At 56.8% G+C, this 17,460-nt stretch overlaps 1 protein-coding gene and 1 long non-coding RNA gene across 33 annotated transcripts in view, besides 6 other annotated features; one reads left to right on the top strand and one right to left on the bottom strand.

The window, feature by feature from the left end:
• PTPRS (protein tyrosine phosphatase receptor type S) overlaps positions 1–17,460 on the top strand; it is a 135,305-nt gene that overhangs the window by 39,763 nt on the left and 78,082 nt on the right. For 17 of the 32 annotated variants that reach the window (XM_005259610.2, XM_047439163.1, XM_005259607.3 and 14 more), the window contains exons 1-2: positions 7,805–7,909; positions 14,816–15,000. In XM_005259610.2, coding sequence (XP_005259667.1) covers positions 14,910–15,000 — 91 coding nt within the window. In that variant the 5' untranslated portion in view covers positions 7,805–7,909; positions 14,816–14,909. Of the gene's footprint in view, positions 1–7,804; positions 7,910–8,264; positions 8,320–14,815; positions 15,001–17,460 lie in introns of those variants that run through there. The other 15 variants (XM_047439166.1, XM_047439164.1, NM_130853.3 and 12 more) reach the window with 2 other exon arrangements.
• Positions 2,351–2,851: an enhancer, noted in NCBI's record as "H3K4me1 hESC enhancer chr19:5298210-5298710 (GRCh37/hg19 assembly coordinates)". NCBI's record gives its function as "activates a minimal SCP1, AML or CMV promoter by ChIP-STARR-seq in primed H9 embryonic stem cells {active_cell/tissue: H9 hESC(primed)}" and the evidence as "EXISTENCE:reporter gene assay evidence [ECO:0000049][PMID:30033119]".
• Positions 5,264–5,880: an enhancer, noted in NCBI's record as "H3K4me1 hESC enhancer chr19:5295181-5295797 (GRCh37/hg19 assembly coordinates)". NCBI's record gives its function as "activates a minimal SCP1, AML or CMV promoter by ChIP-STARR-seq in primed H9 embryonic stem cells {active_cell/tissue: H9 hESC(primed)}" and the evidence as "EXISTENCE:reporter gene assay evidence [ECO:0000049][PMID:30033119]".
• Positions 5,881–6,498: an enhancer, noted in NCBI's record as "H3K4me1 hESC enhancer chr19:5294563-5295180 (GRCh37/hg19 assembly coordinates)". NCBI's record gives its function as "activates a minimal SCP1, AML or CMV promoter by ChIP-STARR-seq in primed H9 embryonic stem cells {active_cell/tissue: H9 hESC(primed)}" and the evidence as "EXISTENCE:reporter gene assay evidence [ECO:0000049][PMID:30033119]".
• Positions 6,367–7,632, bottom strand: LOC105372253 (uncharacterized). Its single transcript, NR_187754.1, has 2 exons — positions 7,405–7,632; positions 6,367–6,903 (listed from the first exon to the last, which is right to left on the bottom strand). It is a non-coding gene; the product is annotated as an uncharacterized LOC105372253 (long non-coding RNA).
• Positions 7,397–7,776: a silencer, noted in NCBI's record as "silent region_9922". NCBI's record gives its function as "represses an Ori minimal core promoter by ATAC-STARR-seq in GM12878 lymphoblastoid cells {active_cell/tissue: GM12878}" and the evidence as "EXISTENCE:reporter gene assay evidence [ECO:0000049][PMID:35858748]".
• Positions 7,807–7,916: a silencer, noted in NCBI's record as "silent region_9921". NCBI's record gives its function as "represses an Ori minimal core promoter by ATAC-STARR-seq in GM12878 lymphoblastoid cells {active_cell/tissue: GM12878}" and the evidence as "EXISTENCE:reporter gene assay evidence [ECO:0000049][PMID:35858748]".
• Positions 7,957–8,056: a silencer, noted in NCBI's record as "silent region_9920". NCBI's record gives its function as "represses an Ori minimal core promoter by ATAC-STARR-seq in GM12878 lymphoblastoid cells {active_cell/tissue: GM12878}" and the evidence as "EXISTENCE:reporter gene assay evidence [ECO:0000049][PMID:35858748]".

Below are 17,460 nucleotides of genomic sequence, written 5' to 3'. Positions count from 1 at the left end.
CAATGTGGCTTTTGCTTTCTGGCTTTCCATGTCACTATGTTGGAAATGTAGAGTTTGGATACCCTAACGTGGCTGCCCAGGGAGTGAGAGTGGCCAGGGTACTGTGGCTGCAGATGGCACCTGCTGACCTCTGTGCTATTGGCCAGCACCTCTAGTCTCTGCAAGGCCTCTGAGCCATTGATGTCTTCACTCTTTCATGTCTATATTTTTTATGGAAATTTTTTTGTTATATATATTTTACCGCTTTTTCTTTCTTTTCTTTTCTTTTTTTTTTTTTTTTTTGAGACGGAGTCTTGTTCTATCACCCAGGCTGGAGTGCAGTGGCACAATTTCAGCTTACTGCAACCTCTGCCTCTTGGGCTCAAGCAATCCTGCCTCAGCCTCCCAAGTAGCTGGGATTACAGGCATGCACCACCATGCCCGGCTAATTTTGGTATTTTTTGGTGAGATGGGGTCTCACTATATTGCCCAGGCTGGTCTCAAAAACCCAGGCTCAAGTCATCTGTCCACCTCGGCCTCCCAAAGTGTTGGGATTACAGGTGTAAGCCACCACACCCGCCCCACTTCTTCATTTAGAAAGCATTTATTGAGCATATACTGTGTACTCGACCCTGGCAGTGACCAAGACTGACCTGGCCCCTTTGTTGCTGGGAGAGCTGGCCACAGAACTTTCTGCAGTGATGGAAGTGTGCTATGTGGGTTTCAGTACTCTGACCATGAGCCACACTGGAAATGTGGCCGGTGTGACTTGAGGAGCAGAATTTTAAATTTTATTTAATTTTTCTTTTTCTTTTCTTTTTTTTTTTTTTGAGATGGAGTCTCGCCCCGTTGCCCAGGCTGTAGTGCTGTGGCATGATCTCACGTCACTGCAGTGTCCACCTCCTGGGTTCTAGCAATTCTCATGCCTCAGCCTCCCATGTAGCTAAGGCTACAGGTGTGCACCACCACACTCAGCTAATTTTTGTGTTTTTAGTAGAGATGGGGTTTTGCCATGTTGTCCAGGCTGGTCTCAAACTCCTGGCATCAAGCAATCCACCCACTTTGGCCTCCCAAAATGCTGGGATTACAGGTGGGAGCCATGGCACCCGGCCTATTTAATTTTTCTTCATTTAAGTTTAATGAGTCACATGTGGCTAGTGGTCCTTTTTCTTTTTCTTTTCCTTTATTTTATTTTATTTCGAAGCAGAGTTTCACTCTTGTTGCCCAGGCTGGAGTGCAATGGCGCGATCTCAGCTCACTGCAACCTCCGCCTCCCAGGTTCAAGCGATTCTCCTGCCTCAGCCCCGAGTAGCTGGGATTACAGGTGCGCACCACCATGCCCGGCTAATTTTTGTATTTTTAGTAGAGATGGGGTTTCACCGTGTTGGCCAGGTTGGTCTCAAACTCCTGACCTCAGAAGATCCACCCATCTTGGCCTCCCAAAGTGCTAGGATTACAGGCGTGAGCCACCACACCCAGCCACTAGTGGTTCTTGTATTTGATAACTCAGACCCAGACAGTGAGTAAAGACAGAGAATTTCAGGTGACAGTAAAATAATGGGTAATGGGTGATGGGTGCTGCTTGAGCCAGGTGGTCAGCCAGGGCATTTCTGAGGAGGTGATCCTTGAGGGAGAATGGAAGGGTGAGAAGAAAAGTGACAAGAAAATGTAGAGGAACAGTGTTCCAGGCAGAGGCATAGCCTGTGCAAAGGCCCTGAGGCAGGACTGCACTTGGGGTGCTGGAGGAACAGCGAGGAGGCCCATGTAGCTGGAGCAGAGTGAGGGGGAGAGAGGGAGGAATGGAGGGCAGGGAGGAGATGGAGCAGGTCATGCAGGGCCTTGTGGGCCACCAGGAGGACTTGGGCTTTGACCCTGAGGGAGGTGGGAGCCATGGAGGGCTGTGGGCAGAGGAGGGACGGGACCTGACTCAGGTGCACACCGGCACCATGTAGTGGGTGCTGTGGGGAGGACAGACTGGAGGGCGAGGGTGGGAGGCTGGGGACCAGGGCAGAGGTGACTGTGCTGGTCCGAGCAGGCAATGATCAGGCTGGATGGGTTGGGAAGGGAATATGGAGAAAGATGGACAAAGTGAGTAGAAATTTAGGAGACAAACGTGAGAGTATTTCCAGACCAACACCATATGGGGTGAGGGAGGAAAAGCAGTGAGGGCCAGCTTCCAGGTTCTAGCCTGAGCCCCTGGAAGGACAGAGCTGCTATCAGCAGAGTTGGGGAAGACATGGGAGGAATGGCTTTGCTGGATCCAGCCATGCCTGAAGGTGTCACACATTTTCCAGGAAGGGGAAGGTAGCCTGGCCTGCGGGGGCGGACAGGTGAAAAAGGCAGACATGGAGCTGGGGCGTGCCTGTGGTGGGCATCATGCCCGCTGCGGTGCGGCTGGCGGGTAGACCCGGCGCCAGGGCTGTGATGTGAACATGGGTGAGGCGGGCTCCTGGCTGGTTGGCACCCGCCCATGCCCCGGGTCATGAATGCTGTGCTAGGTAGGAGGCGGGAGCCTTGGGCATGGGCAAGACCAGGGCAGGGAAGCTGAGAGGAAGCTGCCCAACCAGTTTCTCTCTGGCTCTCACAGCCAAGAGTACAGAGTTTGTACCTAAATGAAATGTCTGGGGGTTTTGGTGCCAAATATGAAGGAGGTGGGACAGACAGGCTGGGGGAGGGGGTCCTGCCCCGGTCAAGGGTATGGTTTTATCTGAGGGTTCCCCATCAGGGAAGGTTTAAAGGCTTGAGAACATCCCAATGCAGTCACCCCTGCTTTGGAAGTTTCTTCAGGAGACGAAGGGACACAGCTGTGTCTAAGAATGTCCCTCACAGTGTTGTTTATAAGGGACATAATGGGATAAACAAGTGGGAATTGATTAAATTCTGTGACCCGGACACTGGAACATGGTCTGCTAATGGTGATCCCCATCGAACGAAAGAAAAGCACCCATTCGTATGCATAGAAGAAAGACTGGAAGGAGGCCGGGCGCTGTGGCTCACGCCTGTAATCCCAACACTTTGGGAGGCCGAGGCGGGCGGATCATGAGGTCAGGAGTTTGAGACCAGTCTGGCCAACATAGTGAAACCCTGTCTCTACTAAAAATACCCAAAAAATTAGCCGGGCGTGGTGGTGTGCGCCTGTAATCCCAGCTACTCAGGAGGCTGAGGCAGGAGAATTGTGTGAACCCGGGAGGCAGAGGTTGCAGTGAGCCGAGATCGTGCCACTGCACTCCAGCCTGGGCGATGGAACGAGACTCTGTCTCAAAAAAAAAAAAAAAAAAAGAAAAGAAAAGAAAGACTGGAAGGAAATGGTTAGCCTCAGGGCCATCGTATTTGCTGTTCCTCCTGCCTGCAACTCTGTTGTCATAGGTGTTTGTATGTCTGATTTGCTCTCTTCCTCCAGGTGTAAATGCAATTATCACCACTTCTAAGAGGCTCCCCCAGGGACCCCCCAGTTTTTGCAGCCTTGCAGTGTGGTTTATTTAATTATTTTTGGCATCTCTTAGCACTGCCCGGCCTTATGTTATTGACAGTGTTTGTTTTTCTGTGGGTGTCCATCCCCCCTGCAACTAGTCTGTGCCCCCCAACAGGGGCAGGAGTGCTGGTTCCATCATGCTTACCACTGTGTCCTCAGCACAGCACACAGTAGGTGCTCAGCACATGTACAGGGAAAGAATGAATGAGAACGGCCGCATGAAACAGTTTCTCTCTAGGCGAGGGATGGATTGTGGGTAACTTTTATTTTCTTCTTTATGCTGATTTTACCTAATTTTCTGCTGCACGCGCCTATTTTATAATTAGAAGAAAAGTTATTTTGAAAAAAATTACCCCCCAACGTCCCAGCTGTGGGAGCTGACGTGATCCAGCCCCGTGTTCCTCCCCAAGGGCAGCCGCCTCCTGGGTGTATACAGAGGACATATCAATGGAACGTTTTTGGAGGGGTCCAGGGGTCAGCCCCCAAGGGCACGGAGTAGGCGGGGCAATCAGGGAGGGCTTCCTGGAGGTGGCCACCCTTAACCTTTAGGGTGCTCAGGCCAAAAACCCAGAAGTCATCCTTGAGTCCCCTCTTTTCTGTACATCCCCAAATGAGCCGTTTAGAAAATTCTATTGGGTCTGCCTAGAATGTGCCTTTCTCCCTCATCCTCTACCCAGTCCAGCCCCAGCCTAGTCATCCCCCACAGTCTGCCCTCCCCACAGCAGCTGAGCATGTCTGTGAGTACCTGAGTCAGGGCCTTCCTCTACCCACAGCCCTCCATGGCTCCCACCTTCCTCAGGGTCAAAGCCCAATTCCTCCTGGAGGCCTCTGAGGCCGTGCGCATCTTGTCCCCATTCCTTCCCTCCCCTCCCTCCCCTCCCCTCCTCTTTGTCTCCCCTTCCTCACTCTGCTCCAGCAACACTGGCCTCCTCGCCATTCCTCCAACACGCCAGGTGCAGTGCTGCCCCGGGGCCTTTGCATGGACTGAGCTCTCTGCCTGGAATCCTCTTTCACTTTCTCTCACCTTCTCCTGGTCTTTGTTCGCATGTCACCTCCCCTCTCTCCTATCCTGTGTTTATTTTATTTTACATTTTTTTAGAGATAGAGTCTCGCTCTGTCGCCCAGGCTGGACTGCAGTGGCACCATCCTAGCTCACTGCAGCCTCAACTTCCTGGCCTCAAGCGATGCTTCCGCCCTCAGCCTCCCAAGTAGCTGGAACCACAGTCATGCGCCACCAGGCCCAGCTAATTTTTAAAAGTTTTTGTAGAGATGATGGGCTATATTGCCCAGGCTGGTCTCAAACTCCTGGCCTCAGGCGATCCTCCCTCCTCATCCTACAACCCTGAACCCAATCATCCTCAGGGCCCTTACCACCATCTGACCCACAGTGGATTTGATTTCTTTTGTTTCTCATGTGTCACCCTCTTTAGAGCATCCACACCCTGAGGGCAGGGATCTTTGTCAGTCTTGGTCACTGTGTGTCTAGGATTGTGCCTGGCATCGGGGCTTGGAAATGTTTGTTTAGAAAAGGGTAGGCTGGGCTTAACCTTATTACGGGCTCATGTCTGTGATCCCAGCACTTTGGGAGGCTGAGGCAGGAGGTTCACTTGAGTCTAGGAGTTCGAGACCAGTCGGGGCAACATGGGGAGATCCCATGTCTACAAAAAAATCCAAAAATTAGCCAGACGTGGTGGCATGTGCCTGTAGTCCAAGCTACTCAGGAGGCTGAGGTGGGAGGATCACTTGAGCCCAGGAGGTTGAGCCCAGGAGGTTGAGGCTAGAGTGAGCCATGATGGTGCCACTGCACTCCAGCCTGAGCAACAGAGCGAGACCCTGTCTTGAAAAAAGGGTAGGTGAAGATGCCTGCTTTATGACAAGGGCACACACAGTGTGGCCTTTGGAGGAGAATAAGGTCGGAGGGGCTCTCCTGGGTGAGGCTGGGCCTGATTGTGCAAATGTTTGCTGAGAACCTCCTTTGTACTGTGGACCTGTGCTAGGTGCTGGGGACACTGGGTGACCGAGACAAATCCTGCTCTGCCTCCTGAGGTCACAGTCTGGTGGGAGAGGCAGACCCGGGGACTAGGCGCATGTAGGGCTCTGTGCTGATGGGGCCACCCAGCCAAGGGGGAGGGCACCTGGCCCACCTCCCCCAGCCCCTCGGGGGTGGCTGTGTCCCCTGCCAACTGCAGTCACCACTGTGGAATAGGGGCAAGAGTCTGCCTCCACAGAGACATGGACAAGAGGCCCAGAGAGGGCAGGACTGGCTGGGAAGCGGCTGGCAAGCCCTTGTCTGCCGTCCCGAGTCCTGGGCAGCCCAGAGCCAGGCCTGTATGCTGCAGGTCATGCAGCCCCAAGCCTCCTGACAGTGTGGATTCATTGAGCACCTGTTCAGTGCTTGGCTTATGTGGCAGATGGGGAAACTGTCGGCCCGAGAGGTACGGGTGCTTTCTTGACACACGGGGCATCCCTGGATTCAAACTCGAGTCTGTATGAGCCCCGTGCCTTGCCACAGATACAAGCAAGGTGCCTACTCTGCTCCTGAGGGCCCACTGTGTGCCCAGCCAAGTTGGGGAGGTCACGCTGGTTGCTCCTACGCCTACATTGACACAGGGAACCTCCTGTGTGCCTTTGGTGATGCTGGGGCACCAGGCAGCCTCCTCCATGAAGCACCTACTGTGTACCTCGTCGAGGATGGGGCTGCGTGGGACGGGGGACGTCACGGCATCCTGTGTTTAGCACCTCCTGTGTGCTCTGTGTCAAAGGGGCAGGCAGGGAGCCTGTGTGCAGACACTCACAGACCACCTACTGTGCATGGTGCTTTGTGGACTAGGCCACCTATTGTTGGAGATGGGGCGGGGCGATTCCATGCTCCATTTTGCAGAGGAGGGAAACTGAGGCATGGTAAGGGAAGGGGGCAGTGTGGTATCCCCCAGTGAGGGAGGCATTTATTCGATGTTTGAAGGAGATGGGAGCCAGCCACTGAGGTAGCAGTGGGAGGGCATGGACGGGAGCCGTGGGAGCGGAATTGTTTCTGCTGGGCTCTCACAGCCGCCTGTGTGTCTCCCATCAAAGCCCACGTCCTTTGCCCCACTGAGTAATGGCTTCTAGAGAGTGGGGCGTCTGTCTTCAGGATGGCCCTGTACCTAGATAAACCCAAGGGGCTTGAAATTATTCATGATATATCCTCAGTTCCGGGGGCCCCAGGCCTCCAGCAGCGCTGTGGTGAGAGCTCCTCCTCTGGACCCAAACCCTGGTTCCAATTCCTGCTCTTCCCGGCCGTGGGCAGCCGTTTCTCTCTCTTTCTCGGCTCCGTTCTTTGCAGAATGGGGGTGATGGTGGGGTCTGCCTCCTAGAGCCGTGGCCGGTGGCCTGAGGAAGCACAGCTGATGGCAGCTGAGCGCCCAGGACATCCCGTTGGCGTTGGCGTTCGGGCTTCGTCCTCAGCGCGAATGCTGGGAAGAGAGGCGTTTTTTCCAGGGATGGGAGCAGACGCGGGAGCCCTTGGGTCTCCATCCCGGCCTCTGCCCCTGTCCCGTCCCCAGACCCCCAGGTCCCGCTGGGCTTCTACATTCCGGGCCCCTCCGGTGGAGTTTTCAAACCCGCACCCCGGGCGCAACGCTGGCTCGGATTGGCCGCCCGGACAGGTCTGCCCCTCCCTCTCCCTCCTCCTCTCCCTCTGCTCCGGTGTCGCGGGCCTGGCACGGCGGCCCCATCTGTTTCCAATCTGGCCCTGTGCTCTCCGCCCCCTCCTCAGGCTTGTGGCGAGGGTGGGGGCCTCTGCCACGGTGTCCCCCCATTCATTCCCCTGGACCCCCAGCGGGAGGGAAGCCTCTGCGCCCGCACCTCTCCCCTACCCTCTGGTCTAAGAGGGGGAAGAGGGGACGCCCCCCGCCCCCATCACCGTGCCTCCGGTCCCACCCAGACTGGGAGGGGAACTCTGCCCCTTCTCCGACCTCCTGTAGTTGGGTGTGTTTGGGGAGCCCTCCGCCGCCCTGTCCGGCATCCAGCCTCCTCATGCGTTGCCATGGCTACGATCAGAGCTGGGGAAGCGAGGAGCAGTGTAGAGGCTCCCCGTGAGACGTCTTCGGGAGGGAGGGGTCTTGGGTCGTGCCCTCCCTGGGGCGCCCCTTCGCTCAGTGTTTCATGGACTCCTGCGGAGGCTCTCCGCGCCTCCAGATGGGGCTCCCCTCTGGTCCCCCCGCCCCACTTCCGGCCGGGGCCCCGCCCTGCCCCCCAATCCCCCTCCTCGGGGCCCGTCCCCTGCAGCCCCGCCCACTGCAACCCCGCCCCCTACAGCCCCGCCCCTTGCCCCGCCCCCAGGCCGAGCTCCCCAGGCCGAGGCCTCTCCCGAGTCTTCGCTGCGCGCCGCGCTCCGGGCGGACCGAGGGACGCGGGGAGCGGCTGCGGCGGGCCCTGTGGAGGCCTCGCGGGGCCTGGGCCCGATCTCCGAGCCGCGGGGTGAGTGCGCCCGGGACCCCCTTCCACCCCGAGGCCCGGGCCGCCCCGGGCTTTGTCTCTCTTGTCGCGCCCCCTCCAGGCTCCGAGGCTGGGGACCACGGGGGTCCCCACAGCCCAGCGCGGGCCTGACCGTGCCGGCCGCCCTCCAGGGCCAGCTTGGGCCTGCTGCTGCCTGGCGCCCCCCCATTCAGGCCCGTCGCTTGCACTTTGGAAAACTCCAGACCGTTATGCTCCGCAGGGTCCCCTCCCCCGCCTGGCCCCCAGCCCGACCTCCTCCCCCCACCCCCTCTCCTCCCCCACCTCCCGGGGGCGGAGCCAGGCGCGGGGCAGCCTTCGCTGCCAGCCCGGGGGAGCTGTGACTGGGGACTTCGCAGAAGGCGGAGGAGGCAACAGGACCGCAGAGGGGGCAGGTAGCGGTGGGGGGTGCATGGCAGGAATCCCTGCTCTTAGCCACCCCCGAAAATCGCAGGAAGTTTACCTCCATCCATTTGTTTCCGCTCCTCTCGGGCCTGTGGACCCCACGTTGCCTCTGTGCTTTGTTGGGGGGCTTTAAGAAACTGGGGGGCTTGGCCTCAGGGAGGGGCCTGTGGTGTTGTCTTCTGAGACGGTCAGGGCAGCTCGTACCTTTCTTTTACCCATTCCCGTCCCTGGGCTCTAAGCCGTTCCAGGACCCAAGTACTGAGCTGACAGAGTTTGGTGACCCTCCCCAAGGGGCTTCCTGCAGAACCCAGGCTGGCCTCAGCTGTCTGTTCCTTCCAGAGCCTCACCCCCACCCTTTAAGTCTCTGCCAGACCCCCTAGGGTGGATGCGAGGCTGTCCCCGTCTCGGTCTCCATTGCCTGGGGTGGTCTCTGTCTATGGTCTCAGTTTCTACCTCTGAAACCCAGGTGACGCCAGGGATGCTGTGGATAAAGTGCCAGGTGGAGCTGGTTATGCAGCAGGCATCCAGTGCATGCAGGGGCTTTGCCACGTTCCTGGGGTGGGAAAAGGGCTTCCATCCAGGGGGTTGACAGACCCACAGTGGGAGCACAGCTGTGATGGGGTAGCTCAGAATGGGTCTTGATCCACCCTGGGGCATCCAGGAGGGCTTCTTGGAAGAGGTGACAGCTCAGCTGAGCCCTGAGGACAAGTATGAGGGCTGAGATTTGATGAGGATGTGAAAGGGTATGCTGGGTGGAAGGAACAGTGTGTGTAAATACCCCTGTGGGAGCCAGGGGCCACAAGTGGGGGGGATCAAGGTGTCAAGGGAAGCCTGGCATGGGGGGTTGTGGCGTGATGAGGTCAGCAGAGGCCGGGCTGGCAGCTCTGGAGGCTGAGGTAGCAGTCTGAGTTTTAATACGTGTTGATGGGAGCCATGGAGGGTTTTAGAGCAGAGGAGGAACGGGGCTCAGCTTGGAGTGGAGGCATCTCGTGGCTGCAGCTTACAGGATGAACTGACCATGGGCCAGCTGGGGAAGGGTGTGCCAGGTGGGGGACCTGCATGCGAAGAGGCTCAGAGACCTGAGGCAGTGTATTCTGAGAACTGCAGGACCTTTCGGGAAGAGGGGGTAGGGAAGACGATGGATGCAGTCACATCAAGAAGGGCCCAGAGCAGCGAGCACAGGAGCTGGGAGCCCCCGTGGGTGTGTGAGCAGAAGCAGGGGTACCCCCAGATCTTGGCGTCTCAAGTTGTTCCATGAAGCCAGCATGGGGGACACACTGACGGGCAATTTTGGCAGCCTGGGCGCCCAGAGGATGTGGACTCTGGGCTCGACTGAGAGCCGGGCTCTGGCCTCAAATCCTAACCCAGCCCAGCCCCCTCCTCCATGCAGGACCCTTGGTGAGCCTCGGTTTCCTAATCCGTTAAACAGCAGAAAACACAGAGAACATTTAATGGGGCTCAGCACCCCAGAGGCACCCAGTGGACTTTAATGATTTCCCTCTCCAGGGCTGGGCCTGGTTCCCTGTCTGCCCCACCCATCCACTCCTGGCCACCAGGACCCCTGGGGACAGTGCCCTGAGCCTTCACGTCGTCCCAATACAAATCAATAGTCAATTAAAGCCAGGTCCCCGGACTTCAGTTCCGGGAAGGGCCAGCCCCACCCAGCCCCTCCCTGAGCCCATTTCCTGATAGGGAGATAATGGCGCCCTGGGAGGGACAGTGGCTTGGCCAGAGCTGACTTGAGCCCACCAGTGGCCACAGAGCCTGTGCTTGCTGCCCAGGGGGGCCCTCGCTGCCTGTCCCTGCTTGAGTGGATGTGGGAGTGACCCAGGTGTCCAGGGAGGCTGGAGGCCAGGGTCCAGTCCTGGAAATGACGTTCCAGGCGGTGGCACGGGAGAGCTGTGGGTGGGGGGTGGATGTGAAGGTGGAGAGATTGTGCAGGGTCAGGGGTCTTTCCCCTGAGTCCCACTGCTGGCATAATCAGCCTCAGCTTCTCCTGCCCTGGGGCCATGGGATGGCCCCTGAGGGTTAGGACTAGGCCCCCAGACTCCCGCCCCAGGACAGGGCAGCATGGACTCTACAGCTGGAGCCTGGGCTGGGAGAGGCACCGGGAGCCTCCTCTGGCCCGAGGAGCCCCCGCCTCGTGCGGGTGACACAGCCTGTTTGCTGCCCGGCCTGGGTCATAATCACCCCTTTATGCTTCCTGGACCGCGTGGGCACACAAAGCCGGCTCCCAGATCGCGTGACCCATGCCCCGGCGCCTGGTTGGAATGAGTGCCCACTCGCCCCCCATTAGCACCGCGGGGGAGCCCCCAGAGGCGGCCAGCGGGCTCTACCAGTCCCAGAGAGAGTTGTCCAGAGATCTCGCAGTGGCCAGAGAAAGACACAGTCACAAGATTAAACGTGGGCTCTAGACCCAAGTCCCACCCCAGCTGGGGGCCTTGGCTGAGTCCCTGTTTTTCTGTGAGCCTCAGTTTCCTCATCTGTAAAAGTCAAGCGCCTGCCTCTGACCAGCTGCCGTGAGCTAGTGGTGGGCAGTGCAGCCCCTGAGAGCCAGGTGGGGCGGGCAGAGACCCTCCCTGAGCCCCACATGGGTTCAGCGTCCAGCGGTCACTCCCTCTCCTTCTCCCTAGCCCTGGCTCAGCCTCGCTGGCCACCATGGGCTGCCATGCTTTTCCTAACAGCCGTGTCATTTACTGGGAGCTTGCAGATTACTGCACCTGACTTAATTTCCCTTTCTTGGCAGTGGCAAGGCTGGTGGCCCAGGCTGCCTTTTGCAAGAGGACATGGTGGAGGGTTGGCCTGGCACCAACCTGGCCATTTCCCTCCCTGCCCAGGGCCACGTAGGGCTCCTGGCTGCTCTGTGGGTCTAGTCTATGTGCACCTCTCTGTCCTCATCTCTCCCCCTCTCCCTCCTAGGACCTCTCAGTGCTGCCCCCTTGCTCTTCCTCATGCTGTTTGTAGTGCAGAGACACCCTTGCCCCCAATTCCCATTCACCTTTTGGTCCTCAGCCAATATTAAATCCAGGAATGGCCCACGCAAAGGCCCGGGGGCAGGACTGGACTGCACTTGGGGTGTTGGAGAAATAGCAAGGAGGCCCATGCGGCTGGAGCAGAGGGAGGAGGGGGAGAAAGGGAGGAGGGGAGGGCACGGAGGGGACAGGGCAGGTCGTGCAGGACCTGGTGGGCCTCAGGAAGGACTTGGGCTTTGACCCCGAGGCAGGTGGGAGCCATGGAGGGCTGTGGGCAGAGGAAGGACGAGCCCTGACTCGGGTGCTTGCAGATGCTTTCTGGTTTCTGTGAGTGGAACAGATCAAGGGACAAGGGCGGGAGCTGGGAGACCACGATGGAGGTGACGACATCTGTCCAGGTCGGTGACAATGGGGCTGGAAGAAGTGGAGGCAGAAGAATGAGTAAGAAGTGGGCAGGTTGGGGACAGATTCTGAAGGCAGAGCTGATGGGACCTAGGGATCTTCTCTCCCAAATCCTCGCAGAGGACCTCACGCCTGGGGTTTTCGTGGAAGCAGGAGTCGGTGGGAGGATTGTGGGTGTGCAGGGTCCTATCCCCATCATGGGAGGTTCTCCTAGGGAGGATTGGCACCTAAGGGACCCCGGGATGTTTTGTCTTTGGTAGTGTCTGAACCCCACTCCCTGGGCCCCTCCCACCACCCTATTCCTGATACATCATCCAATGCCCCAAATGCTCCTGTTACTGTAGCCCCTCGTCCCTGCCCCTGACAGGCTGGAGTGGCGGATCTGGGGGGAGTCCATGGCCAGGCCCTGCCTGTCTGTGCCTGACTCAGCCCCATCCTGCGCAGACATCAGGGAGGTGTGGGCCCAACATGGCTTCTGCCGTGGGAGCCAGGGTGTAATTAGGGCTGCCTGGTTTAGAAGGTGGCTGATGCTGCCCTGAGGTCCTCGTGGGATGTGGGAGAGCCAGCTGTGGCTGGGGCCCTCCATATATGTGCCCCACCTGGGCTCTCTGTGCAAGTGACTCCTACCCATGCCCTCTGAGCTTCAGGTTTGCTATGCTGCCTCAGTTTCCCCAGAGGCTCTCTGCAGGCCTGCCCAGCTGCTCAAAGTGGTCTGGGACTGACCTCGCCCCCTCAGTGTGGCCAAGCAGATGTGCATTTCTGGGCAGGGCCAGCCGCTGTGGTCACCCTAGCCCCAGCTGGCCACAGGCTGTTTTCTCCATCTGGGGCCACCGCCTTCCTCGTTGGCAACTTTTGCTCTTAAAGGGCTAGGGCAGGGACTCAGAGTAAGGGACTGTGCTCTAGGCTTTATTTCCTTCATCTTCCCAGTCCCCAACTGGTTGTGTGCAAGGTGTACCTAGAGTCTGACTGTGTGTGTGCATGTCTGTGTAGCCTGCCTGTGTGCACATATGTGTGTAGGAAGGGAATCTGACTTTGCATATCTCTATTTGGCTGGCTGGCACATGCACCTGTGGTCTGCTGACTGACTGGCCTATCTATAGTCTGACAGTGTGCCGGCACCTGTGTCTGCGTGTGACTTTGACCGGCTTGTGCACCTGTAGGTATCTCTGATCTAATTGCATGTTTGCAGTTCCCTGTAACCCAACTGTGTATGTGTACTGCCTGCCCCACCATGACCCCTTATGTGTATCTTTTCTGGCTTGGTGTATGTCTGTGGTCTGATTTTGGGCCTGTCTGTGTTTGTGGTCTGACTATGTGCAAGTTTTATTTGCCTGATTGTGTGTGTGTGTGTGTGTGTGTGTGTGTGTGTGTGTGTGTGTGTGCCCGTCTCTGCTGCCTGACTGTGTGAATGCATTTGTTTCTGTGTCTCTTGCAGATATGCAACCGCTTGCAGTCTGACTGTGTGTCGGTGTGTATCGGTGGTTTGACTGTGTGCATCTGTGTATGTCTGTGGCGTGATTTAGCAGGCATCGTTCTCTGTGGCTGGTCTGACTGTATGCCTGTGGCCTAACTATGTACACTGAGGCCCCCCGAATCCCGTTCGTCACCCTAGGCTGTGACCCGGCCACTACCCGCCCATCCTTCCCCTGGGACCGCCCCAGGGCTGGGCGAGGTGACCGCAGCTGGGTATTTTGGGAGTCAGAATCACAGGGGCTGCCCCGTTATTATGCGCCACCAGTTCCTGTGGTCACGGCCTGGACCCGCCCAGGGCATGGGCTGGCATGGGTGCCAGCCTGACTAGGCAACAAAGATCTTATCCTTGGGCCTCTCCCTTCCCCTCCCTGGCCCTCTGACCTGGCTCTGGACAGAGTGGAGATTGGGGAGATGGGGAGGGGGCCATTCCAGGGTTCAAGGTATGTGACGAGGGACCCTTCTGCCCTGGAGGAGTTGAGGTTCTTGTGGGAGAAACGTGCTGAATGATTAACATCTTTTCATTTAGTTTGGGAACCAGGGTGAATACCACGGAGGATAACCTTAGTCATATCTGATGCTCCGGGATGTAGAATGTAGGGGGAATTGACCTTTGAGGGGCAGAGAAGGGTTTCCTGAGGAAGTGACAGCTAAGCTGAGACCTGTCATGTGGTGGGGACAGCATTCCAGGCAGAGGGCACAGCAGAAGCAAAGGCTTGGAGGTGGGACTGAGCTTGGCTGGCCTGGCTGTACCTCCAAGCGAGAGGAAACAGTGAAGTCAGCAAGAGTGGCTTCCCCTGGGGGCTCTGGGAGCCATGGGAGGTCTTAGAGCAGGGCAGGGACAGGCAGGTGTGTGGAAGAGATTTGTCTTATAACCTGGGGGATCAGGTTTTAGAGCCAGACAGCAGCATAGTCTGGAGTCCCCTCCTTCCTGAGAAGCAGCCTGTGAGTTGGAGAAAACTGGGGCTCAGCACCCCTCAGTCCTGGTGTGGGGCTTGGTCTGAGTCAGGGGCTCAGGTCCTCAGTCCTGGTGTGGGGCTTGGTCTGAGTCAGGGGCCCAGCCTGGGTTGGGGACTCATGCTGGGGTTGGGGTTTAGCTGGTGGTTGGAGGCTGTCTTAGTCCATTTGGGCTGCTGTAGCCAAATACCACAGACCAAGTGGCTTATAAATGACAGAAATTGGTACCTCACAGTTCTAGAGGCTGGGAAGTCCAAGATCAAGGCAACACAGATTTGGTGTCTGGTGAGGGCTATCTTCTGGTTCGTGGAAGGCATCTTCTCCCTGTGTCCTCACGTGGCAGAAAGGGCAAGGGAGCTTTCTGGGAGATCCTTTATGACACTAATCCCGTTCATGAGGTCTCTGCTCTCATGACCTAGTCACTTCCCAAACACTCCATCTCCTGTTACCATCATAGTGGGGACTAGGTTTCAACATATGATTTTTTGTGGGGGAGACACCTTAATTCTATAGCAAGGGCCCAGCACTTTCATTCCATCCCATCACCCCATGATCCTTCCCCATTGTCCCATGACCAGCCCCCGCAGGACCCTCCCCTGCTCCATGTGACCCTCCCTCTGCCTCCTCCATGAAGGTCTCCTGGATTTCCCCACTCGCCTCTCACAGCCCTCCATTGTCTCTGCAGACGTTGCCCCATCTGACGCTCGGCTCGAGGCCTCTCTGTGAGGGACCGGGGGGCCATCCCCCTCCAGGGCGGAGATCGGAGGTCGCTGCCAAGCATGGCGCCCACCTGGGGCCCTGGCATGGTGTCTGTGGTTGGTCCCATGGGCCTCCTTGTGGTCCTGCTCGTTGGAGGCTGTGCAGCAGAAGGTAAGAAGCCGGCACGGGATGTGCAGGGGTCTGCGTGTTTGTTTACCTGTGTGCATTTATGGCTGTGTGTGTGTGGGCACACTCCCCACCTCCTCCCTGGGGCCCTCCATTTTGCCAAATGGAACTTTTATGCTCCACAAATGAGGCTGAATGCTGAGGACTGTGTGCTGAGCCCTAAGAGATTCAGAGATAAATAATAATGCTGGTATTCATAAAGTAATAACCGTAATGATGATGACGGCGTCTGTTTCCCCAGCATCAACTCAGCCCCAGGCTCCATGCTAAGCACTAATTTTACCTGCTTCCTCTCCCTTGAGCCTGACAAAACCCAGTGTGCCAGTTCTGTTACCTTCCACGTTTCCCAATGAGGGAAAACGAGGCAAGGACTTATTTGAGATCACTGCTTAGTGAGCCACAGAGTTCACCTTCCCTTGCTGTGGGCAGTACCTACACCTGGTGGCAGACACACAGGCAGACAAACTGTCTCAGGTGGAGCCAGGGGAGGCTTCTTGGGAAAAAGGGCATTGGGACTGGGGTTTTGTGGGTGTATAGGAGTTCGCCGATAGAAAAGCCATTCCTCGTCAGGATGACAGCACCCGGGAAGGCCTGCAGATGAAAGAGGTTGGTATAGTTTAGAGATGGGCAAGGAAGCATTTCTGGCTGTAATGTGAAGAGGATGAGGGTCCATCTGGGGCCCAATGCCAAGACTCACCCCACCATGAAGGACCTGGAGAAGGCATCACTCAGGCCCATGAGGACATAGGGGATGAGGGCAGTAGGGCAAGAGACTGGGTTCTGCAGTCAGGCTGGGTTTGAATCCTGGCTCTGCTGCCAACCTGCTGCACAACCCCGGGCTAGTGGCTCAGCCTCCCTTACCCACTGTCACAGAGCTCATATCATTATCCACATCCAGCATTCTTGTGATGTGGACATTTCATAAGCCCCTGCCTGCTGCTAGGGACATAGCAGGCCGGCAATCCTGTGTTACCACAAACGTAGGTATTACTGCTGGTTAACAAACTGGAGACATACACCCCTGCCTCATTCATTTGCGCTTTTTCTTATTTTCATGCTGCTTTTTTTATTGTCGTTTTTTCCTTTTGAGATGGGGTCTCACTCTGTCACCCAGGCTGGAGTGCAGTGGCAGCATCTCAGCTCACTGCAACCTCTACTTCTCAGGCTCAAGCAATCCTCCCACCTCAGCCTCCCAGGTAGCTGGGACTACAGGCGTGGGCCACCATGCCTGGCTAATTTTTTTAATTTTTTGTAGAGATGGGGTTTCACTGTGTTGCCCAGGCTGGTCTCGAACTCCTGAGCTCAAGCAATCCACCTGCCTCTGCCTCCCAAAGTGCTAGAATTACAGGTGTGAGCCAGCCACGGCATCCAGCCTCATGCTGTTTTTTAGTAAATGCCCCTATACATTCAGATCAGCCACCGCACCCTGATGAGGTGAATGCGATTATCAGCATCCCCGTCGTACAACTATGGAAACTGATTGCACCGCTGCACTCAGCCTGGGCAACAGAGCCAGACCTTGTCTCAGAAAAAAAAGAAAGATGGGCTGAAGCGCCTTGGCCTCCCAAAGTGCTGGGATTGCAGGCATGAGCCACTGTGCCTGACCTGGCTAATTTTTATTTATTTATTTATTTATTTATTTATTTATTTATTTATTTTAATTAATTAATTTTTTGTGACAGAGTCTCACTCTGTCGCCCAGGCTGGAGTGCGGTGGCGCAGTCTCGGCTCACTGCAACCTCCGCCTCCCAGATTCAAGCGATCCTCCTGCCTCAGCCTCCCGAGTAGCTGGGATTACAGGTGCCAGCCACCACACCCGGCTAATTTTTTGTATTTTTAGTAGAGACGGGGTTTCACCATGTTAGCCAGGGTGGTCTCAATCTCCTGACCTCATGATCCTCCTGCCTCGGCCTCCCAAAGTGCTGGGATTACAGGCATGAGCCACTGAGCCCGGCTGGCCTGGCTAATTTTTTAAATTTCTTGTAGAGATGGAGTTCTTACTGTGTTGCCCGGACTGGTCTCAAACTCGTGAGCTTAAGCAATCCTCCCACCTCAGCCTCCCAAAGTACTGGGATTACAGGCGTGAGTCCCAGTGCCTGGCCTGGCTAAGTTTTTAAATTTCTTACAGAGATGGAGTTTTTACTATGTTGCCCAGGCTGGTCTCAAACTCCTAGATTTAAGCGATCCTCCCAACTCAGCCTCCCAAAGTGCTGGGATTACAAGAGTGAGCCACTGTGCCCAACCAGAAGTGGCCATTTGAACCTGAGCTGCCTGGTCCCACAGGCCAAGTTCCCAATGACCACACTCCCTCAGGGACCAGAAGCCAGGTATAGCTGCACTGTGATCTGTCTGGCTGCCTCCAGGGCCTGAGTCTTCCTGGCCTGTCTCACCTGCATTGGGGATGTCTGGCCTTCAGTACTGACCCCTTTCAGTTCTTCTTTTCTT

Source organism: Homo sapiens, chromosome 19, assembly GCF_000001405.40.
Source record: "Homo sapiens chromosome 19, GRCh38.p14 Primary Assembly".
In the NCBI taxonomy this organism is placed as follows: domain Eukaryota; kingdom Metazoa; phylum Chordata; class Mammalia; order Primates; family Hominidae; genus Homo; species Homo sapiens.
The sequence above is the reverse complement of the archived record's forward strand: the minus strand, read 5'-3'. Positions and strand labels throughout refer to the sequence as shown.